Below are 24,897 nucleotides of genomic sequence, written 5' to 3'. Positions count from 1 at the left end.
AGATCAGGAGTTCGAGACCAGCCTGGCGAATGTGGTGAAACCCCATCTCTACTAAAATTTAACACAAAAATTAGCCGGGCATGGTGGCGGACACCTGTAATCCTAGTTACTCAGGGGGCTGAGGCAGGAGAATCACTTGAAACCGGGAGGCGGAGATTGCAGTGAGCTGAGATCGTGCCACTGCACTCCAGCCTGGGCGACAGAGCGAGACTCCATCTCAAAAAAAAAAAACAGAAAGAAAGAAACAGCTCTACTGGCCACACTTCCTCCTGGGTTCCTTCAAAATGGAAGTGGAAGAAAGTAAGGTTATTGCTAATCCATTCAGTCACTGAAAATGTGTGTTATATGATTTTCGAATCAATTACATAAGCTTCCCTTTAGAAAATTCAATTATATAATGTATCTTTTAGAAAAATTAAATCTATTGTTTTTACCATAGCAAAAGCAGAAATAGTCCTCAACTGTTTTTCTGAGTGTTTCAATTTCTACAGCATCTACACTCATCCGATTTGCCTGGGTTGTAGATTTCATTTTATGCATCTCTGCAGCTTTTTCTTCTTCTTCAACACCTGTAAAAAAAATAAAAAATAAAATAAAAAAATAATAATAAGGTCCATATCCATTACCTTAATATTTGGTTTTTAGTAAAAATCGTTTTCCTGTATCCTAACAGGGAAAACTACTTTTATCATGTATTCTAACAGGAAAAAACTATTTCTTAACCATTCTTTAACATTTATTAATCATTGTAACCAATGATTTGTTATTTTGTAACAAAATAGCAAGTCATTTGTGATTTGTTATAAAAGCAAAAAAGAGGACAAGCCCAAGGGCTCACGCCTGTAATTCCACCACCTTGTGAGGCTGAAGCAGGAGGATTGCTTGAGCCCAGGAGTTCAAGACCAGCTTTGGCAACATAACAAGGACACATCTCTGCAAAAAAATGAAAATAGCCAGGTATAGTGTTGTATGTCTGCAGTCCTAGCTGTCTGGGGGCTGAAGTGAGGGCTGCTTGAGTCTAGAAGTTTAAGGCTGCAGTGAGCTATGATGGGGCCGAGAACATACCACAGCACTCCAGCCTGGGTGATGGATAGAGACTGTGTCTCTTAAATTAAAAAAAAAAAAAAAAAAAAAAAAAAAGGCCAGGTGCGGTGGCTCACACCTGTAATCCCAGCACTTTGGGAGGCTGAGGCTGGCAGATGACAAGGTCAAGAGATTGAGAGCGTCCTGGTCAACATGATGAAACCACCGTCTCTACTAAAAATACAAAAATTAGGCCGGGCGCGGTGGCTCACGCCTGTAATCCCTGCACTTTGGGAGGCCGAGGCGGGTGGATCACGAGGTCAGGAGATCGAGACCATCCTGGCTAACACAGTGAAACTCCGTCTCTACTAAAAATACAAAAAATTCTCCGGGCGTGGTGGCGGGCGCCTGTGGTCCCAGCTACTCAGGAGGCTGGGGCAAGAGAATGGCGTGAGCCCGGGAGGTGGAGCTTGCAGCGAGCGGAAATTGCGCCACTGCACTCCAGCCTGGGCGACAGAGTGAGACTCCGTCTCAAACAAACAAACAAACAAACAAACAAAAAATACAAAAATTAGCTGGGCATGGTGGCACACACCTGTAGTCTCAGCTACTTGGGAGGCTGAGGCAGGAGAATTGCTTGAACCCGGGAGGTGGAGGGTGCAGTGAGCCAAGATTGCACCACTGCACTCCAGCCTGGCGACAGAGCAAGACTCCGTCTCAAAAAAATAAAAAATAAAAGGCAGGGAGATGGAGATTTAAAAGGGAACTTTTCAAATAAAAATCTAAAATACTTAGATGAATGAAAGTAATATGAAATGGTGACCATCTCTGAAATAAGTGTAGCTATAGCTAAAAATACTACATACCAGTACCCTTGTACTACTTTAAAAAAGAAAATTTGTATTGGTTACAAATTTAAATATGAGAAGATTATCGACACAAAAAAATTCTAGGCTTGCAAAGTCTAGCACGATAACAAATAGATACATGTGGCACTTGCAACTTGGCTGGTCCAAATTCAGATGTTTCATGAGTGTACAATACACACTGGATTTTGAAGACTTGGTACAAAAAAAGTATGACAAATATCCCATTAATAATTTTTTTTTTCTGGAGACGGAGTCTTGCTCTGTCACCAGGCTGGAGTGCAGTGGCACGATCGTGGCTCACTGCAATCTCCACCTCCCAGGTTCAAACGATTCTTCTGCCTCAGCCTCCCGAGTAGCTGGGATTACAGGTGCGCGCCACCACTCCCAGCTAATTTTTGTATTTTTAGTAGAGACAGGGTTTCACCATGTTGGCCACATGGTCTCGATCTCCTGACCTCGTGATCCGCCTGCCTCTGCCTCCCAAAGTGCTGGGATTACAGGCATGAGCCACCACACCCGGCCCATTAATAATTTTTAAATTGATTACATGTTGAAATATTTTAGATATAATAAGTTAAAGTATTACCAGTAAAATGAATTTCACTTGTTTTTCTTTATTTTTCTTTAATGTTCTAACTAGAAAGTTTTAAATTATGTGAGAGACTCACATGATACTTTTTTCTGCTGAACAACGCTTTTCTAAATCCCAGAAAAGCGCTCAGAATTCTCCTGAAGAATTTCTATGATTGCCTCATAAACCTATTGATTACCTTCCAGAAGACCATTATTGCTCCTTATCTGCAAAGTACTTTACACAAACAAGTAAGAGGTACTTGAGAATTAGGCCGGGTGCAGTGGCTCATGCCTGTAATCCCAGCACTTTGGGAGGCCAAGGAGGGCAGATCGCCTGAGGTCAGGAGTTTAAGATCAGTCTGGCCAACATGGTGAAACCCCACCTCTACTAAAAAATACAAAAAATTAGCCAGGCATGGTGGTGGGCGCCTGTAGTCCCAGCTACTTGGGAGGCGGAGGCAGAAGAATGGCGTGAACCCGGGAGGTGAAGCTTGCAGTGAGCTGAGATCGTGCCACTGCACTCTAGCCTGGGCGACAGAGCGAGACTCCGTCTCGAAAAAAAAAAAAAAAATTAGCCGAGTGTAGTGACACACGCCTGTAATCCCAGCTACTAGAAAGGCTGAGGCAGGAGACTTGCTTGAACCTGGGAGGCAGAAGTTGCAGTGAGCCAAGATCGCACCACTGCACTCCATGGGCGATAGTGAGACTCTGTCTCAAAAAAAAAGAGAAGAAGGAGAATTAGATACAGAAACCATTCTCCATGGATCAAATTATTAACAATGAGGCCAGTCACGGTGGCTCACGCCGGTAATCCTAGCACTTTGGGAGGCCAAGGTGGGTGGATCACTTGAGGTAAGGAGTTCGAGACCAGCCAGGCCAACAGGGCAAAACCCCATCTCTACTAAAAATACAAAAATTAGCCAGGTGTGCCTGTAATCCCAGCTACTCGGGAGGCTGAGACAGAAGAATCGCTTGAACCTGGGAGGCTGAGGTTGCAGTGAGCCAAGATCACGCCACTGCACTCCAGCCTGGGTGACAGGGCGAGACTCCTTAAAAAAAAAAAAAAAATTATTAGCAATAAAAACAAAGTATGAATACTGATGGACAGTGACTACAGCTTGCAGCTGAGGACAGCGCCCTTAATGCTTAGTTCTAACCAGTGGAGAACCACATAAGCCAGGCAGGACAGGGAAGGGGAGAATAAGTACAGCTGCAGGCGGGCTTATGGTATTGGTGGGGCAGACAGCAGCTGATACACACACAATCAAAACAGCATTATTAGTATAAAGAAACACAGAAACATAATCAATGCTTGAACATTTCTCAACATTATAATAATGTCAACATTTTAAAAATAAGTTACTAACATAAAGCTTAGAAGATTACAGCATGGGGGTAAGGGACAGGGGGAGGAATACAGTGGCAGGGGATAGTTTTTAAAACAAACTAAAAATACAATTGGGAATTAAAATTCGTGAATTAACAAAACTTTTTGTTCACTAATAAGTTGCTGAATGTATCACCAATTTAATCTAAACTGACATCAGAAGTTTAACTTTAGACCTTAGTGGCATACAAGCATCTGCAGGTTCATTTCCAAATCACCACAATAATACAAGTATAAAGTAAAGTCACACAGATGTTTTGGTTTCCCAATGCATATAAAAGTTACATTGACTCTTGCTTTCATGAAAGGTCTCTCTGTAGTGTGAGGCTATTTGGTAGCATTTCACCCACGGTAGAACTTGTTTCAAAATTGGAGTCAATCCTCCAAAACCCTGCCATTGCTTTATGAACTAAGTTTATGTCATACTCTAAATCCTTTGTTATCATTTCAACAGTGTTCATGGAGGTTGCAGTGAGCTGAGATCGCGCCATTGCACTCCAGCATGGGCAACAAGAGCAAAACTCTGTCTCAAAAAAAACTAAATAAAAAATAAAAATAAAATGGCAAGCATCTCCTTATACACCTCCATCAGGACTCTGTGAGTGACTGTGAGCAGTCATATTTTGAAAGCAATCTTTTTTTCTGAGCAGTAGGTCTCAAAAGTGGGCTTAAAATATTCGGTGAACAACACTATCAAGAGATGTGCTGTCATCCAGGCTTTATTGTTCTATCAATAGAGCACAGGCAGAGCAGATTTAGTGTAACTCTTCAGGACCCCAGGATTTTCAGAATGGTAAATGAACATGGCTTCAAAGTAACCAGCGGCGTTAACCCCTCACAAGGAATTCAGCTTGTCCTTTGAAGCTTTGAAGCCAGGAATGAACTTCTCTCTAGCTAGCAAAGTCCTAGAGAGTATCTTCCAATATAAGGCTGTTTTGTCTACGTTGAAAATCGGGTTTTGTGAGTGTAGCCATCTTCATGAATTACCTCAGCTAGATCTTCTAAAGAACTTGCTGCAGTTTCTACATCAAACACTTGCTGCTTTACCTTGCACTTTTATGTTATAGAGACTCTGTCTTTCCTTTTTTTTTCTTTTGAGACAGATCTCAAGAGTCCAGGCTGGAGTGCAATGGCGAGATCTCAGCTCACTGCAACCTCCGCCTCCTGGGCTCAAGCGATTCTCGTACCTCAGCCTCCAGAGCAGCTGGGACTACAGGTGCACGCCACCAGGCCTGGCTAATTTTTTGTATTTTAGAAGAGACGGGGTTTCACCAGGGTGCCTAGGGTGGTCTTGAACTCCTGAGCTCAGACGATCTGCCCACCTCAGCCTCCCAAAGTGCTGGGATTACAGGCGTGAGCCACCGCCCCCAGCTGACTGTGTCTTTCCTTAAACCTCATGAGCCAACCTCTGCTAGCTTCCAATTTTTCTTCTGCAGCTTCCTCACCCATCTCAGCCTTCACAGAATTGAAGAGAGTTAGGGCCTCACTCTGGATTACGCTGTGGCTTAAGGGAATGCTGTGGCTGGTTTGATCTTCTATCCACACCATTCAAACTTTCTTCCTATCAGCAATAAGCTGTTTTGCTTTATCATTTGCGTGTTCACTGGAGCAGCAGTTTTCATTTCCTTCGAGAACTTTTCCTACGCATTCTCCACCTGGCTACCTGTTCAGCCTAGCTTTCAGCCTACCTCAGCTGCTGACATGCCTTCCTCACTAAGCTTCATCATTTCTGCTTTTGATGTAAAGTGAGCAGCCTGCAAGTCTTCCTTTCACTTGAACACTCAGAGGCCACTATAGGTCTATTAATTGGCCTAATTTCCTTTTTTTTTCGTTGAGACGGAGTCTTGCTCTTTCGCCAGGCTGGAGTGCAGTGGTGCGATCTTGGCTCACTGCAACCTCCACCTCCCAGGTTCAAGTAATTCACCTGCCTCAGCCTCCCAAATAGCTGGGACTACAAGCACGCGCCACCACACCCAGCTAATTTTTTGTATTTTTAGTAGAGATGGTGTTTCACCATGTTGGCCAGGATGGTCTCGATCTCTTGACCTCGTGGTCCACACATCTCGGCCTCCCAAAGTGCTAGGATGACAGGCATGAGCCACCGTGCCTGGCCGGCCTAATTTCAATATTGTGTCTCAGGGACCAGGGAGGCCTGAGGAAAGGGAATGATGGGGGACCAGGCGATTGGTGAAGCAGTCAGAACACATATTTACCTATTAGGTTTGCCATATTATATGTGTGCGTTCGAGGACTCCCAGTACAATTACAATAGTAACATCAAAGATCACTGATCTCAATACCTTGAACCAAGGAGGCAGGGGATGCAGTGAGCCGAGATCGCACCACTGCACTCCAGCCAGGGTGACGGAGCAAACCTCCATCTCAAAAAAAAAAAAAAAAAAAAAAAAAAAATTCCACTACAGCGGATACAATAATCATGAAAAAGTCTCAAATAATGCTATGCCAAGAGTTACCAAAATGCAACACAGAGAACCAAGTAAGCACATGCTGCAGGAAAAATGGCACCAATAGACTTGACACAAGGTTGCCACAAATCTTCAATGTGTGAAAACTGCAGTGTCTGCAAGGCACAAAAAAAAAAAATGAGATATGCCCGGTCGGGCACAGTGGCTCATGCCTGTAATCCCAGCACTTTGGGAGGCCGAGGCGGGCAGATAACCTGAGGTCAGGAGTACGAGACCAGCCTGACCAACATGGAGAAACCCCATCTCTACTAAAAATACAAAACTAGCTGGGTGTGGTGGTGCATGCCTGTAATCCCAGCTACTCGGGAGGCTGAGGCAGGAGAATCACTTGAACCCAAGAGGCAGAGGTTGCGGTGAGCCGAGATCGCACCATTGCACTCTAGCCTGGGCAACAAGAGCAAAACTCCGTCTCAAAAAAACAAAAATGACAACAACAAAAAATGAGGTATGCCCATATATAATATGTGCCTATAGATACCCTAGCTTTTTTTGTTCCCTTTCCATGTTTTTAAGAAAATGCTGTATCAATCAGTTAACATAAAACCTACAGTGTTAGGTTAAACACAGATATGAAAATGGTCATACTGTGAAAGGCTGTGGGTATTAAAACCCTATAGTAAATTTCAACACTGTTCCAATGTCAAATAAGCTCACCACTGCTCTAAATGCAGATTACAAAACTCACTGAAGACTGTGATAAGGTGACTCGTATCTGTGAGGGAGTGGAGGAGAACTGTTTAATTTTGCAATATGCTTAAACAAACTTGCACAGTGAATCACTGGTTTTCAACACACCAACTTTTTATCTAGAAAAGAACTCCCGGCCGGATGTGGTGGCTCACGCCTGTAATCCCAGCACTTTGGGAGGCCGAGGTGGGCTCCTCGGGTCAGGAGCTCAAGACCAGCCTGGCCAACATGGAGAAACCCTGTCTGTACTAAAAATACAAAAAATTATCTAGGTATGGTGGTGTGCACCTGTAATCCCAGCTACTCCAGAGGCTGAGGTAGAAGAATTGCTTGAATACAGGAGGTGGAAGTTGCAGTGAGCGGAGATCGCGCCACTGCACTCCAGCCTGGTGACGGAGCGAGACCCCATCTCTTAAAAAAAAAAAAAAAGCCGAGAGTGGTGGCTCATGCCTGAAATCCTAGCACTTTGGGAGGCCAAGGCAAGCAGATCACCTGAGGTCAGGAGTTTGAGACCAACTTGGCCAACATGGCAAAACCCTGTCTTTACTAAAATTACAAAAATTAGCCAGGCATGGTGGTGGGCACCTGTAATCCCAGCTACTCGGGAGGATGAGGTAGAAGAATTGCTTGAACATGGGAGGTGGAGGTTGCAATGAGCCGAGATCGTGCCATTGCACTCCAGCCCAGGGGGCCAAGAGTGAAACTCTGTCTCAAAAAAAAAAAAGAAAAAGAAAATAACTCCTTATCTGAGTAAAAGTTTTAACCTATTCAAAATTTCTCTACCTTCATTACCTTCTCTCTAATGCATCTCATTAACCCAGAGTAAAGCCAAGCAAGGAACACCGTACAACAAACACTACCATTTTTCTTAACTCTTCAGTATCTATCCTGACATATTTCAGTGATTCCTTTTGAGCATTTTGAAATGTCTCCATAAACATTTCAGAAAATCTTTTTTAGTTTAAACCTCATTCTGTTTTAGAAGAAAATATAACTTGGCCAGGCGCAGTGGCCCACGCCTATAATCCCTCTGCACTTTGGGAGGCCAAGGTGGGCAGATCACCTGAGGTCGGGAGTTTGAGACCAGCCTGACCAACATGGAGAAACCCCGTCTCTACTAAAAATACAAAATTAGCCAGGCGTGCTGGCGCGTGCCTGTAATCCCAGCTACTTGGGAGGCTGAGGCAGGAGAATCACTTGAACTCACGCAGCGGGGGTTGTGGTGAGCCAAGAGTGTGCCACTGCACTCCAGCCTAGGCAACATGAGCAAAACTCCATCTCAAAAAAAAAAAAAAAGAAAGAAAGAAAGAAAGAAAATAATATAACTTGTCTTACCTACAAATATTTAGGCTTAAAATTAATGAAATGCAAAAGATAAAAATACAATGCTTACAATATTTTACAAAATCTTTTTGAAAATCCTTTCTGGTATTGACAAAAGCACGTCCTCTTTCAGTTCCGACGACAAACACGTCTGTTTCATACACTGCAATGCAGGCCACTTCGGCTTTGGACTTGGCCAGTTCTTTACACTACAATACAAACAGCAAACATCATGTTACAGGCGGACGTTTAAGAGCATCATTTCTGCTCGATGAATTAAAAAAACTAACAACATTTTTTAAAGGTACTTCTCTTTCAAGATAGTTTTTGGCCTGATTTTAAACAAAAGACAACACAGAATTTATAAGGAAAAAAAAAACACAATTCCCTTGTAATCTCTTATAGGTCAGATTCTCCAAGTAGTAGACTGAGAGTTTACACAGGCTTGCTGGGGGGCACTGTCAATTACAGCACTTGGGAGGCGGAAGGCAGGCAGGGCTGGACAGACGAAGCACTGAACACTGATGTAGCTGCACCCAGAGCTGGGAGCTGGCATGGCCCTCCCCTGGGAAAGGGTGGAATCTTGTACAAGGTGGCTCGAACAGCCATGGCACCTGGGGCAATTAGTGCCCTCAGTACAAAAGGAGGGTGGGGGTCTGAAACCCACACTACAGCATTCATTACATAATCCCCACCTCCAGAAGTATTCCCCTGTGTACACACAGCCAGAATCACTTTTAGGTGGGCAGAGTATTTACTGACTTTTACTAAGCATATTTCTACGAGATTAAATATTCTTTTAAAATGTTACAGAGTATATAGTATTCCATTTAATGAATATACCTTGAATGATTTACTGATAACATTATTTAAAAGGTTGGTGATTCCAATTTTCCCCCCTAAAAATAATACCACCATAACAACCTGGGAACAAAATATTTATGGGCATCTTTTTCTTTTTTTTTTTAAGACAGAGTTCCACTCTGTCGCCCAGGCTGGAGTGTGGTGGCGCGATCTCGGCTCACTGCAACCTCCACCTCACGGGTTCAAGCAATTCTCCTGTCTCAGCCTCCCGGGTTACTGGGACTACAGGCACACGCTGCCACGCTGGCTAATTTTTTTGTATTTTTAGTAGAGATAGGGTTTCACAATGTTGGCCAGGCTAGTCTTGAACTCCTGACCTCAGCCTATAATCCCAGCACTTTGGGAGGCCAAGGTGGGTGGATCACCTGAGGTCGGGAGTTCGAGACCCGCGTGACCAACATGGTGAAACCCTGTCTCTACTAAAAATACAAAAAATTACCCGAGCGTGGTGGCGCACACCTGCAATCCCAGCTACTCGGGAGTCTGAGGCATGAGAATCACTTGAACCCAGGGGGCAGAGGTTGCAGGGAGCCTATATCATGCCATTGCACCCCAGCCTGGGCAACAAGAGCGAAACTCTGTCTCAAATAAATGAATGAATGAATGAATGACTGTGATGTGAAAGGCTTAAACCCATAACTATTCAAGAAGAAAAACTACTCATTGGTTGGGGCAGTGGTTCACACCTGTAATCCCAGCACTTTGGGCGGCTGAGGCAGGTGGATCAAGAGGTCAGGAGTTCGAGACCGGCCTGGCCAAGATGGTCAAACCCTGTCTTTACTAAAAATACAAAAAATTAGCCAGGTGTGGTGGCAGGCGCCTGTAATCCCAGCTACTCGGAAGGCTAAGGCAGGAGAATCGCTTGAACCCGGGAGGTAAAGGTTGCAGTGAGCCAAGATCTCGCCACTGCACTCTAGCCTGGGCAACAGAGCAAGACTCCGTCTCAAAAAAAAAAAAAAAAAAAAAAAAGTAAAGAAAAAGTACTCATTAAAACTAAAAACCATAAAATTCTATCTTCCACAAAAACAAATCAACCTTATCTACAGTGCAGGCCTACCCAACTATGGAATGATGGAACAGAAGGCCTCACCATGGACTCGAGAGCTGACATGAGGAATGTCACCACCATCCTGCTCTCCGAGGACTCCTCATCTTCAACGGGGAGGGTGGACATTGCAACTTGGGCCATGATCCCTGTGCAGGAGAAGTAAGAAGAAAGTGAGTGGTAGAAATCTGGTGTCCTGAACCCACAGCCAAAGCTGTGAGGGCCCCTCACCGGCTGCCTAATTTACAGTTTTCTTGCTCTAGAGACAAAATAAGGCTCAGAAACTAAGTATTTGACTTGCCCAAACCCTCATAAGATAAAGAATCTATCCCCTAATTTTCTATATATTGTTATTTCCAGAAAATTGGGTCAATATCACACCCCAAATAAATCCAGGTGGCACCCAGAATCAGTGAAATTTCTCCCAAGTAAGAACAAGACGAGGCAAGGCACTTTACAGCCCAGTGACGGGCAACCACAACTCAACACAGGACAGAGATGCTAAGCCCTCTTCTCCCCTGAACATCCTGACACACAAAAGAGTGGGTACAGTGGACTGAGGCTGAGTGGAGAGAAGTTTCTCTTCTTACTAAGAAAATAGATCACAGGCATCAAGTAACATGTAAGATTCTTTATAATACAGCATATTCTGGCCAGGCACGATGGCTCATGCCTATCATCCCAGCACTTTGGGAGGCTGAGGCAGGAGAATTGCTTGAACCCAGGAGGCGGAGGCTGCAGTGAGCGGAGATCGCAGCACTGCACTCCAGTCTGGGTGACAAGAGCAAAACTCCGTCTCAAAAAAACAAAACAAAATGGTTAGAAGTGTAAATTTTATGTTAAGTATATTTTACCAAAATAAAATGAAAACAACACACCATATAAAAACATACTGGCCAGGCGTGGTGGCTCATGTCTCTAATCCCAGCTCTTTGGGAGGCCGAGGCAGGTGGATCACCTGAGGTCGGGAGTTCGAGATTAGCCTGGCCAACATGGCAAAACTCTGCCTCTACTAAAAATACAAAAATGAGCCAGGCAGGGTGGTGGGCGCCTGTAATCCCGGCTACTCAAGAGTCTGAGACAGGGGAATCGCTTGAACCTGGGAGACGGAGGTTGCAGTGAGCCGAGATCACGCCACCTCACTGGAGCCTTGGTGACAGAGTGAGCCTGTCACACACACAAAAAAATTATGTATATTTTACCAAAATAAAACCAAAACAATACACCATATAAAGACATACTAAGATGGCAAAATCTAAAGCAAATTTCTAAAACTGAAACACTAAAAAGGTTTTCTGTAAATAGCATGCAAATTAGATGCCTATTAAAAATTGTCCCTTTTAATTTAGTTGAATTAATTCTACTTTTAGGGAGCTATTGAATAATTAAATAAACTTAATATGGAAAGATAACTGAAAAATTTAAAAATTAAACACTGGAAACAAGAATAGTAACTGTAAAAACAAATTAATTTACTGACAACACCCGAGTATTCCTTAACTAAAGCCCCAGGGTTCTGGAGAACGTGGACAAGCAGCTGAGGAGCTGTCAGCAGAAAACTGTTATGCCTAAAAATGTCAGTAAATCTTTTCCCTATTATTAAAGAGGATGCTCTATTTCCCTATTATTAAAGACTGTGATCTAGCTTTATCTGTTACCATGTGAATTAACTGCTAGCCCAGATTACCCATCAACAAGTAACGAAGCATACATACTTAGGAAGTTGCGCTTTATAATAAAAACCATAATCCACTGGGCGTGGTGGCTCACGCCTGTAATCCCAGCCCTTTGGAAGGCCGAGGCGGGTGGATCTCTTGAGGTCAGGAGTTCGAGATCAGCATGGCCAACATGGTGAAACCCTGTCTCTATTAAAAATTCCAAATAGCCGGGCATGGTGGCACGCACCTGTAATCCCAGCTACTTGGGAGGCTGAGGCAGGAGAATCGCTTGAGCCCAGGAGGCGGAGGTTGCAGTGAGCCAAGATTGCGCTGCTGCACTCCAGCCTGGGCGACAGAGTGAGACTCCGCCTCAAAAAAAATAAAATAAATAAATACAAACCATAATAAAAAATAATTGACACTTGGCTGGGCCCAGTGGCTCAAACCTGTAATCCCAGCACTTTGGGAGGCCGTGGCAGGTGACTCTCATGAGGCCAGGAGTTCGAGACCATCCTGGGCAATGTGGCGAAACACTGTCTCTACTAAAAATACAAAAATTAGCCAGGCATGGTGGTGTACCATCTGTAATTCCAGTCACTCAGGAGGCTGAGGCACGAGAATCAATTGAATCCAGTAGGTGGAGGTTGCAGTGAGCCAAAATCACGCCACAGCACTCCAACCCAAACAACAAAGCAAGACTCTATCTCAAAAAAAAAAAACAAAAACAAAACAAACAAAACACTTATCCCCATATATTTGAACAAACAGAAGCAAATCTGATTCCCAACACAAGGGTCCCTGACTAGAGACGGAAGTAAAGGCCGTATCAAGCAAGTGAATAGGTAAATTATAGAAATTATTTGGCCTAACAGCTTAGGTCCCATTCTTTTTCTCTTGGATAAAACTAAGTGAATTTGTCTGGTTTTCTTTCCCTCTCCCTCTCCCCCAAGTCTAAGTAAATTTCCATTAAAATGTGGCTTAGGCGAAATGGACAACAAAGGCATATATGTTTCTATAATTAGACATTCACTTAGCGTACACTTTCATTATTTCTGAAAATTCATAGTATTTCTTCATAATCTCACTTTTCCTTTAATTCCCCAGCGAAAGAAAACAGAGATGTGTTCTCATTTTACAAATGCAGTGATTTGTCAAGGTCATATTGCCACTATCACAGTCAGAACATGAAACTAGGGCAATTTTCTGCCTACTGCTGTTACCACTTTTTCTCATCTTTAATCGCCATAAATCTGCCATCAAGTCATCATGAGGCCGGAGAATAGGGTCTGGAGGCAGGGAACCTAAGGCCAATTCATGCTGACTTCCTAGAACTAAATCAAAAGGAAAACCCCAACTTTTCACACCTAAGTAACAAAAGGATGGGAGGCTACTCAGTTTGCAAACCACCACCCCCACTTTTTCTGTGTCCCAGATGGAAAATTCAAAGTATCTCTGATTGGTTGCTTTCTGCAACCAATCAGACGTTTGCACAGGAGTGTAACATTGTAACTTCACTTCAGCCTCTGATTGGTTGCTTCCTGCAACGAATCCCAGACTGACTGCGACCAAGTCTTTTTTCCTTTCCTTTTTCTTTAGTGCAGTGGCACGATCTCGGCTCACTGCAAGCTCCGCCTCCCGGGTTCACGCCATTCTCCCACCTCAGCCTCCAGAGTAGCTGGGACTACAGGCGCCCGCCACCACGCGCAGCTAATTTTTGTGTTTTTTAGTAGAGACGGGTTTTCACCATGTTAGCCAGGATGGTATCGATCTCCTGACCTCATGATCCGCCCGCCTCGGCCGGATTACCGGCGTGAGCCATCGCCCCCGGACTTTTTTTTTTCTTTTTTTAAGACGGAGTCTAGCTCTATCGCCGAGGCTGGAGTGCAGTGGCACGTTCTGGGTTCCCTGCAACCTCGGCCTTCCGGGTTCAAACGATTCTCCTGCTTCAGCCTCGCGAGTACCTGGGACTACAGGTGCCCGCCACCACGCCCAACTAATTTTTGTATTTTTAGTAGAGATGGAGTTTCGCCATGTTGGCCAGGCTGGTCTGGAACTTCTGACTTCAGGTTATCCACCTACCTTGGCCTCCCACCACGCCCGGCCTTTTGTTTTTGTTTTGAGACAGGGTCTTGCTTTGTTGCCCAGGCTGAAGTGCAATGGCGCTATCTCAGCTCACTGCAACCTCTGCCTCCCGGGTTCAAGCGATTCTCCTGCCTCAGCCTCCCGAGTAGCTGAGATTACAGGTAACTGCCACCACACCTGGCTAATTTTTTGTATTTTTAGTAGAGAGGGGGTTTCACCATATTGGTCAGGCTGGTCTGGAACTCGTGACCTCAAGTAATCCACCCATCTTGGCCTCCCAAAGTACTGGGATTACTGGAGCCCGGCAGGGCAAGTCGTCATTTGCATACAAGTGTAACTTTGTAACTTCACTTTAGTCTCTGATTGGTTGCTTTCCACAGATGCTTGCATAGGGTGTAACCTTTGTAACTTCAAGTCAGCCTCTAATTGGTTGCTTTTCACAACCAATCAGACTGCTTGCAGGCCACTACTGTATTTACAAAGGATGTACACCAGGTAACCAATGGGAAACCTCTAGAAAATTAAACCCCAGAAAGTTAAACCCCAGAAAGTAGTTAAACCCCAGAAAATTCTGTAAAGGGGCTCTTCAGCCCCCAGGCTCGGCCCGCCCCCTCTTTGTGGACTGTACCTTCCACTTTCAATAAATCTCGGCTTTTGGTGCTTCTTCCATTGGACACCCTCCACTGGTAACAATCACACTCAATGTGTGTAAGAAATGGGGGACAGACGCTACAGCAACAGCCCACGGGGCGCCCCTGGTGATGAAGGTCCTATGTCTTTATCAGAACTTTCAGGGCAGGCAGCGAGCCCTGCAGGATGGAAAGCACCCCAAGGGCGACCCACGGGCCTTCTCTGTGCTTCCTGCTCTCTGGAAATGGGTGCATCCGGGTCACACCGGAAGTTCGCTGTTCTTTGCCCATCCCAAGAGTTTCCTTCCTGGGACAGTCCTTAGTTGAAACTATTCGTGGAGGCTTCCCTGCACCCTTCACTTGGGGACGGCTCTCTTTTCTCCTCTTCCCAGAAAGAAACTGCCATCAGGAGGTGGCATTAATTAAACAATGAACACCAGAGGAGGCATCGGGCCAGGCAGGTGACGCCAGCTTAGGAAGCATCTGATGCACCGGTCCCCACAGGACCAAACGCCTAGAGAGCTGGTGTATGGGTTCAGCAGACAGCCATCTCGCTGCGTGCCCCTGGGGGCTGTACTCAGTTGCCTCGTCCATAAATGGAAATGCTCAATCCCTTTTATGAATACCCTCAACTTAAAATAAGAAGGGTTGGAAAAAGAAATGAACATTTATTGAATATATGTCATGCTTTATTGGCCATCTTGTATAATAAGCACAGCAACCCTGGGTGGGAGAGCAGGCAACATGGACTACACATGGACCCCAGGAAAAGCTCCTTGATGGAGGTGGTGCTCCAGAAGCCACCTGAGCCAGGCCCATGGAGTCTTTTCCTGGTTGACTTTACTTTCTGATGTCACCAGCAATGAACCACAAATCACAAGGATATGACCTCTCCTATCTGTCATGACACATCAAAACTCAGAGGTCTCCCAGTAAAAGAGGCCGTGGAAGAAAAAAAAAATTAAACCAGGTAAAATGAGGACATTTTGCTCTGTGCTCATAAGGAATGCAACTAGGTACGAGTTTTTAAGTTTTTTTTTTCTTTGGTGGGGGGAAGGAGTCTCGCTCTGTTGCCCCGGCTGGAGTGCAGTGGCACGATCCTGGCTCACTGAAATCTCCAGCTCCTGGGTGCGAGTAATTCTCCTGCCTCTGCCTCCCGAGTAGCTGGGATGACAGGCGCCCGCCACCACACCCGGGTAATTTTTGTATTTTTAGTAGAGATGGGGTTTCACCACATTGGGCAGGCTGGTCTTGAGCTCCTGACCTCAGGTGATCTGCCCGCTTCAGCCTCCCAAAGTGCTGAGATTACAGGCGTGAGCCACCGCACCCGGCCTAATTCTGTATTTTTAGATGCAACACTATTTTTGCTTAATTTAATTTTCCTTTAGATGTAACCACGTATTTATGACATAATTTGCTCATTCTTTTGTGTTCCTGCTGTCCTCTGGTGACAAACTGTTTTTGTTTGCTAAAAAATTTTTCTTGAAAGGTATTTTCGCTGGAATAGAAACCTAGGTTGACAATTATATTCTTTCAGCACACTAAGGTTATTTCATTATCTGTTGGTGTCATTATATTTTGGCTTCCACTGTCGCTATTGAGAAGTAATCTACGGTCTCTTTTTAGGTGATTCCCATTCCTACTCCTGCTGTTTTTAAGAGGTTTTCTTTGTCTAAGATGTTTTCTACAGTTTCACTGTGTATTCTAGGTGTAGATTTTATTTTTATTAAACATATGTCTGTCATTCATGGGCTTAACTATGAAATGGTATCCTTCGATGTGGAAAACTCTAAGCTATTGTCTCTTTAGATTCTGCCCCATTCTCTATCTCCTATCCTACTGGGACTCACATTAATGTATGTTAGTCATCACTTTATCCTTTTAGCTTCTTACCTTTTTTTACGTTTTCTTCTCCATACTAAACAATTATTTCTTCTGGCTTACCTTCCATTTCACTAACTCCTTCTTCATCTTTTTATTCTGTTGTTAAAACACCTATCCGGTTTTTAATTTTGTTTGTAATTTTCATTTCTATGATTTCTAGTTACTGCTAAGTCATATTTTATAGTTTCCTACTCTCTAAGGAATTTCAAGATTGTCATATTTCTTTGGTAATGGGGCAGTTATTTTATAGTCTCTGATAATTCCAAATCTCAAGTTTTTGCAGGACTATTTCTGTTGTTCCCAGTGGTTCTTACCCTTATGCATGGTTCTTATTCCCTTCTATGCCTAATTATCTTAGTGAGTTAGTTATTTTACGTGAAAAAATTACTTATAATCTTAAGCCTAGGGTGAAGGCAGCTTCCTCCAGGTGTCAAGAGACAACACCTGCCTAGAATCACTCTAATCCAAGTTCGAGACTTGGTTCCTTGGCCCACCCAGTAGAAGTTAACCCAGGCCACAAGTAAGGATGCAGACTATTCTGAGTCTCTCACCCCACAAAGCTTTTAAAACTCAAGGTCAAGTGGTGAAATGTTTGCCTTCAGGACAAGAGTAATTCTCACTTCTGTCAATTGAGTTCCCATAACCCAGCCCTTCAAATTTTCTCTACTTTTCAACTTTCTGGTGTTTTCACAAAAGTTTTGTTTTATAATTTTACAACAGTGTTGGTTGTTTTCAGTAAGAATAACTAACCTCACCAACTCTGGGAACCATACCTTCCATATCCTTTATTCTCAAGAACAATTTATGAATTAGCCAGAACTACTTTAGATTGCGAGGTTACCAATTCCCAATTCAAACAAGATCAAGTACAAAAGAGAACTTTTATTGCTTCATTTAATTAATTAAGTCTAAAGGTTATACTGGCTCCACATATAGCTAGATCCAAAACCACAAAATAAGTCATTAGAATTCTCTCAGCTTAAGCAGAAGGGTGTCCTCCCTAAGGCAGACCTGACAGCCACATGCACCTTCATGCGTACCACATTCCTGTCCTGTGATCCCAGAGGCAGAGAACTATCACATCCTCCCATTACTTTTTTTTTTTTTTTGAGACGGAGTCTCACTTATCGCCCAGGTTGGAGTGCAGTAACACAATCTCAACTCACTGCAACCTCCACCTCCTGGGTTCAAGTGATTCTCCTGCCTCAGCCTCCCGAGTAGCTGGGATTACAGGCGTGCACCACCACGTCTGACTAATTTTTGTATTTTTAGTAGAGACAGGATTTTGCCATGTTGGCCAGGCTGGTCTCGAACTTCTGATCTCAGTTGATCCGTCTGCTTTGGGCTCCCAAAATGCTAGGATTACAGGCGTAAGCCACTATGCCCAGCCTTCCCATTACATTTTGTGTAAAAGATCTGGGCATATGTGTCATGAGCCTACCCAAACCCAATTACTGTGGGCTGGTCAGAACAAGATGACACGGGATATACTGTGATTAAACAGACACACAAAAAATAACAGCTATGTGAGCCTGGTATGCCTTCTTTCCCATTTTTTTTTCTTTTTTTCTTTTTTTTTATTTTTGAGACAGAGTCTTGCTCTATCGCCCAGGCTAGAGTGCAATGGCACGATCTCGGCTCACTGCAACCTCTGCCTCCCAGGTTCAAGCAATTCTCCTGCCTCAGCCTCCCAAGTAGTTCGGATTACAGGTGCCTGCCACCAAACCCAGCTAATTTTTGTATTTTTTTTAGAGATGGGGTTTCGTCATGTTGGTCAGGCTGATCTTGAACTACTGACGTCAGGTGATCTGCCCGCCTTGGCCTCCCCAAGTGCTGGGATTACAGGCATAAGCCACTGCGCCCAGCCTCCCATTTTTTCAATCTCCTCAGTTCTTCTATTCTCAACGTTTTTTGACTTCACCTTTCGTTTCCCTGATTTGATTTTAATTCTCCTTCATGAGTTTCAAAGTTGAACTCAATTGGCCTGTTGCTATTTCATTGTTTATCTCCGATTCTGGTTGGCTACTGTATATGTGATGCCTTCTTTATCTCTGAAAACAAGACTCTAGCCATTGTTTGAAATCCTCGAGTTTCCTGTTGGAGATCCATTTCAGGTATTAGATTTATCCGTGTCCTTGCTGTTCTGATCCATTCTTCCTCAAAATAAGCCAATAACTAATTCCATAAAATTTTCTTTTTGTCTGTACTTCTGCTTTAATTATCTGATTCCTTGCTGTTAATACCAAACAGCACACAACAACATTTGGTTTTGGGTTTTATGAGACAAAGTCTCACTCTGTTGCCTGGACGAGTACAGTGGCACCATCACTGCTAACTGAAGCCTCCACCTCCTGTGTTCAAGCGATCTTCCCACCTCAGCATCCCTACTAGCTGGGACTACAGACTTGCAGCACCACGCCCGGCTAATTTTTTGTATTTTTAGTAGAGATCGGGTCTCACTATGTTGCGCAGGCTGGTCTCGAACTCCTGAGATCAAATGATCCTCCCGCCTCAGTCTACCAAAGTGCTAGGATTAAAAGCATAAGCCACTGCACCCAGACAAAAAAAAATATTTTATAGTGAGTGAAAGGAAGAACGCGCTTGAAGATTTTTACAAACCTTATCATTACCCTCATAAAAACTGAGGTTCTTAATATTTTTTATGATGCTGTTCTCTGAGATACTTCTGAACTTTCAATACATTTCTGCTTCAAAACAAGGTTCCAGTCAGACTGGCAAGTGGGCAGGTGCTAGAACACTCTTTTATTTAAATTACATTCATGCCCTATTTCTTTTTCATGTTATAATATATATACACAAATATATATAAATAAATATATAAAATTATATATATGTGTGTATATACATACATATATATATGTGTATATACATACATACATACATATATATATATATATATTTTTTTTTTTTTTTTTTTTTGAGATGGACTCTGGCTCTTGTCACCCAGGCTGGAGTACAATGGTGTGATCTCAGCTCATTGCAACCTCTGCCTCCCGGGTTCAAGCGATTCTCCTGCCTCAGACTCCTGAGTAGCTGGGATTACAGGTGTCCGCCACCACCCAGATAATTTTTCTATTTTTAGTAAAAATGGGGTTTCACCACGTTGGCCAGGCTGGTCTTGAACTCCTGACCTCAGGAAATCTGCCTGCCTCGGCCTCCGAAAGGGCTGGGATTACAGGCGAGAGCCACTGTGCACAGCCTAGAGTTAGTTCTTTAACAAGGGACTAGAATCCCTCTCTAAATTCCAAATTGCCTCTTTACAGCCAGGTGTGGTGGCTCACACCTGTAATCTCAGCATTTTGGGAGGCCAAGGTAGGAGGATCGCTTGAGGTCTAGAGTTCAAGACCAAACTGCCTTTTTAATGCATAATAACAATCAAAGAATGGCAGGTTTTAAAAACATAATCAACACAAGGTAAATAATTAGACAGTGATTGCAACTATAATACTACACAGTCTTTCAGCAGAGAATTAACTGCCACTCATCATAAACGAACTGACTGAAGCAAAGTATAATATCCTTTTCATTAGAAAGCAAAGATGATAGTGGACACTGAACTTTCTGTATCAGCATCAGTCACATTCTAAGAAAATAAGGCATTTGGTTAAAAAAAAAATAAATGGAAAATATGGCAGCGGCTCACGCCTGTAATCCCAGCATTTTGGGAGGTCAAGTCAGGTGGATCACTTGAGGTCAGGAATTCGAGACCAGCCTGGCCAACATGGTGAAACCCCATCTCTACTAAAAATACAAAAATAAGCTGGGTGTGGTGGGCGCCTGTAATCCCAGCTACTCAGGAGGCTGAGGCAGGAGAATCCCTTGAACCCGGGAGGCGGAGGTTGCAGTGATCCAAGTTCACGCCACTGCACTCCAGCCTGAGCAACAGAGTGAGACTCCATCTCAAAAAATTAAAAAATTTTTAAAAATATAGCTGGGCGCGGTGGCTCATGCCTGTAATCCCAGCATTTTGGGAGGCTGAGGTGGGCAAATCACAAGGTCAGGAGTTCGAGACCAGCCTGGCCAACATGCTAAAACCCCATCTCTATTAAAAATACAAAAATTAGCCAGGCATGGTGGCGCACACCTGGATTCCCAGCTACTCAGGAGGCTGACGCAGGAGAATTGCTTGAACCCGGGAGGCGGAGGTTGCAGTGAGCCGAGATCGCGCCACTGCACTCCAGCCTGGGTGACAGAGCGAGACTCTGTCTCAAAAAATATATATATATGAGTAGGTTACAGACCGATTATCTAGGTGAACACATTACTTATGTCACAAAACACTGCTTCCAGGTACTGTCAGGCAAACTATCTCCTTTAACAATGAAAGACAGCCCTGAATTTAGACAATAGTTTAAATTAGTAAAACCTTGACTCGCCACCTAAAAGACTGAAGACTCAGTCTCAACGAAGGTGAAATGGATTTAAACTGATGAGAAACACCAGGCCCATTATTTTATTTTCTTCTGCACAAATTTCTACAGGCTACTATTTTTACTTGTAATAAGCAATGAAGATCTACACTGCACCTTTACTTAAGGAAGGCGAGATAAACTCAAGACTGCAAAAATCAGTATCTTTCTTAACTCAATGTTTTGCATTCAGACAATAATCACTAAACCCCTAGATGCTTAGATGAATAAAAACTGAGAAAAACCTTCAAAATTAGCTAAAATAATTGCCACTAGGATATTGTCCCTGGAAGACAGTATTTAAGACAGGTAATGGTATTCAATTCTGTAATTATTCAACAGGCTTGAGTTAAAAAAAAAAAAAAAAAAAAGCCGGGCTCAGTAGCTCACACCTGTAATCCCAGCGCTCTGGGAGGCCGAGACAGGAGGATGGCTTGAGCCCAGGAGGTGAAGGCTGCAGTGAGCCATGATGGCACCACTGCACTCCAGCCTGGGTGACAGAGTAAGCCCGTGTCCATTAAAGAGAGAGAGAGAGAGACAGACAGAAATAATACTTTTACCAGAGAAATTTTCCGTCCAAACCTAAGTTTTTGTCCCCCTATTCCAAAAAATGGACTACAGCGGTGAGTCTGCAGTACTGGTGGATGCACTTCTGCCTTGGCCAGTATTTCAGGGAAGTTCTCTCTTTCTTGGTTTTCTGGTGTCTTCCAGCTTTCCAGCTGTCTTCATTCTTTGAGATCTAGTCTCCAGTTATCTTTTGTATAAGAGGAAAAACTGTAAAACCCAAATTTACTTTTTTTTTTTTTTTGAGACAGAATCTCACTCTGTCGCCCAGGCTGGAGTGCAGTGGCGTGATCTTGGCTCACTGCAACCTCCGCCTCCTGGGTTCAAGCAATTCTCCTGCCTCAGCCTCCCGAGTAGCTAGGATTACAGGTGTATGTCACCACGCCCGGCTAATTTTCTTTTTTTTAGTAGAGATGGGGTTTCAGCATGTTGGCCAGGCTGGTCTTGGAACTCCTGACCTCAGGTGATCTGCCCGCCTCAGCCTCCCAAAGTGCCACACCTGGCCAACCAATTCATTTTATTAACAGCCACTAAAGCCAAGTTTCAACAAAATTAAATGACTAATGGCATCATCATATTCTTGAATGTATACACTAACAGAAACATCCTCAGTCAGAAGAATAAAATGAATTCATGTATCGCTTAATGCCAAGGGAAAAATTAGTGACATCTCAAACTTTTACAAAGTAATTTCTTCAAAACAATGAGTGGTAAGAAAAAGTTAAAATTCATCAAGTAAAATGTTAGATATTTTGTCCTAAAATAGTGCTTAAAATAAATCCAAAAGATCTAATACTAGTAGTTCAATCAGCTGACTTTAGTCTAAACCAGGATTCAGCTGCATTAAAACTAGTTTAGATTATCATGTAATACTACATTTTGGCAATCTTTTAGGCCGCCTAAATCTTTTCATCTCTGAAACTGTTGGGGTTTTTTCGGTTTTTTGTTTTGTTTTTGTTTTGTTTTGGAGACAGAGTCTCACTCTGTCGCCCAGGCTGGAGTGCAGGGGCGTAATCTCGGCTCACTGCAACCTCCACCTCTTGGGTTCAAGCAATTCTCCTGGCTGGATCTCCGGAGTAGCTGGGATTACAGGCACCTGACACCACACCCAGCTAGCTTTTTTTGTATTTTTAGTAGAGACAGGGTTTCCCCATGTTGGCCAGGCTGGTCTTGAACTCCTGACCTCAAGTGATTTGCCCGCCTCAGCCTCCTAAAGTGCTGGGATTACAGGCATGAGCCATCATGCCCAGCCAAATTGTTGGTATTTAATATTTCCATGTTCTCCCTATAATTATTAAGTACTAAAAGCCAAAACTAAAATCTGTTTTTCAGAAGGAAATTTATTCATCCCTAAAATGTCAGTATACATTTAATATAATCAGTTCAGATTGTAAACACAGACTTTGTAAATATCTTAATGTTTTCTATTTAATTTTTTTTTCTAGACATGTGGTTCACACTAAATGTCTTAATTTTTTCAAGATACTACCATTTGTTTTAATTATGTCCACTGAGTAGCTTCTATAGAAAATGTGCTTTGCTAGGGTTTTGGTTTGTTTGTTTGTTTGTTTTTCAGATAAGGGTCTCACTATGTTGCCCAAGATGGCTGCAAACTCCTGGGCTCAAAGGATCCTCCTACCTCAGTCTCCCAATTAGCTGGGACTACAGGCATCTGCCACCACGTCTGGCTATAGGAGCTGTGTTTTTAATTTTTGTTTTAATGAGAACATGTTTAAGGTAGTTTGCTGACCCTATCAGTTTGTCTTTCGAATGACAGCAAAGAAATTAACTTCATATCTTGATAAGTTTATTATAAATGGTCGACATCTGCTTGACACAATTTACAAAATGGATCTTTTTATAACCTAAGAACAGCTGATAACTTAAAAGACAATGTAAATTGCCCAAGATCACAGAATTGCTAAGAATAGAATCCAGATCTATCCAACTGACTAGATGTCCTCAATTCCCCATTCTCTGTCTTTTTATTTGGTTTGTTTGTTTGTTTGTTTGTTTTAGATGGAGTCTTGCTCTGTCACCCAGGCTGCAGTGCAGTGGCATGATCTTGGCTCACTGCAACCTCTGCCTCCCGGGTTCAAGCGATTCTCCTGCCTCAGCCTCCTGCGTAGCTGGGACTATAGGCGCCCATCACCATGCCCAGCTAATTTTTGTATTTTTAGTAGAGACGGGGTTTTGCCATGTTTGCTAGGCTGGTCTCCAACTCCTGACCTCTAGTGATCTGCCCACCTCGGCCTCCCAAGTGCTGGGATTACAGGTGTGAGCCACTGCGCCCAGCCCCCCATTCTCTTTCAAACCACACTATACACTGTAAAATTTAATCCGATTTTAAATATTTTTCAAATTCCATTATCTACAAATTTAAACTTTAGAAAAACATTAAGTTTTCAAGGGCTTAGACAACAACTATAATGGTATTTAAGTCTATGAACTGACCTTCTGCCCCCCCCAAAAAAAACAGCCTCTCAAAGAAATAGGATTCCTCAATACTAAAAGGAGATATTTTCATTTTGCCAAAGTATTGTACCACAAAATACTAGTTCATAGCTACTTTTCTTCTTTTAAAAATATTCATTCTTTTAAAAAAAAGGAGAACATGGCACATCCCATCGTAACCAAGTCATCAAAGTTAACACTAGTCTCCAGACAGACAAACACCACGTCCCACCCAACAAAATGCAAGGAAAACATGGATATTCCTGCTCAAAATGCTTAACCTCAATATAAGCATGAGGAAGCACTGGACAAACCTGAGTTAAGAGACAGTCTATAAAAATGCCTCTAGTCTTCAAAAAGGTCAAGGGCATGAATGAAACTCAAAACACTGAAAAACTGTTCTAAAATAAAGTATATTAGGCCGGGATGGATGGCTCACACCTGTAATCCCAGCACTTTGGGAGGCCGAGGTGGGTGGATCACCTGAGGTCAGGAGTTCGACACCAGCCTGGCCAACATGGCAAAACCCCATCTCTACTAAAAATACAAAAATTGGCTGGGTGTGGTGGCAGGTGCCTGTAATCCCAGCTACTTGGGAGACTGAGGCAGGAGAATCGCTTGAACCAGGAGGAAGAAGTTGCAGTGAGCTGAGATGGTGCCACTGCACTCCAGCCTGGGTGAAAGAGTGAAACTCCGTCTCAAAAAAATATATATATATATTAGAGGGCTGGGCATAGTGGCTCATGCCCATCATCCCAGCACTTTGGGAGGCCGAGGTGGGCGGATCACCTGAGGTTGGGAGTTCAAGACCAGCCTGACCAACATGGAGAAACCCCGTCTCCACTAAAAAAAAAAAAAATGCAAAATTAGTTGAGCGTGGTGGCTCATGCCTGTAATCCCAGCTACCCGGGAGGCTGAGGCAGGAGAATTGCTTGAAAC

At 43.4% G+C, this 24,897-nt stretch overlaps 1 protein-coding gene and 1 long non-coding RNA gene across 7 annotated transcripts in view; one reads left to right on the top strand and one right to left on the bottom strand.

The window, feature by feature from the left end:
* Nucleotides 1-10,593, top strand: part of GTF2I-AS1 (GTF2I antisense RNA 1) — a 39,982-nt gene extending 29,389 nt beyond the window's left edge. The window contains exon 4 of the long non-coding RNA NR_110044.1: nucleotides 10,259-10,593. This is a non-coding gene — a long non-coding RNA (GTF2I antisense RNA 1). The remainder of the gene's footprint in view (nucleotides 1-10,258) is intronic.
* GTF2I (general transcription factor IIi) overlaps nucleotides 1-24,897 on the bottom strand; it is a 102,975-nt gene that overhangs the window by 61,163 nt on the left and 16,915 nt on the right. For all 6 annotated transcript variants that reach the window (NM_032999.4, NM_033001.4, NM_001163636.3 and 3 more), the window contains exons 2-4: nucleotides 10,303-10,406; nucleotides 8,419-8,557; nucleotides 435-569 (exon numbers count right to left, since the gene is read on the bottom strand). In NM_032999.4, coding sequence (NP_127492.1) covers nucleotides 435-569; nucleotides 8,419-8,557; nucleotides 10,303-10,401 — 373 coding nt within the window. In that variant the 5' untranslated portion in view covers nucleotides 10,402-10,406. The remainder of the gene's footprint in view (nucleotides 1-434; nucleotides 570-8,418; nucleotides 8,558-10,302; nucleotides 10,407-24,897) is intronic.

The sequence above is a fragment of the Homo sapiens genome, chromosome 7, assembly GCF_000001405.40.
Source record: "Homo sapiens chromosome 7, GRCh38.p14 Primary Assembly".
Taxonomy (NCBI): Eukaryota; Metazoa; Chordata; class Mammalia; order Primates; family Hominidae; genus Homo; species Homo sapiens.
Note: the sequence above shows the minus strand (reverse complement) of the source record. Positions and strands in the feature narration are given on the sequence as shown.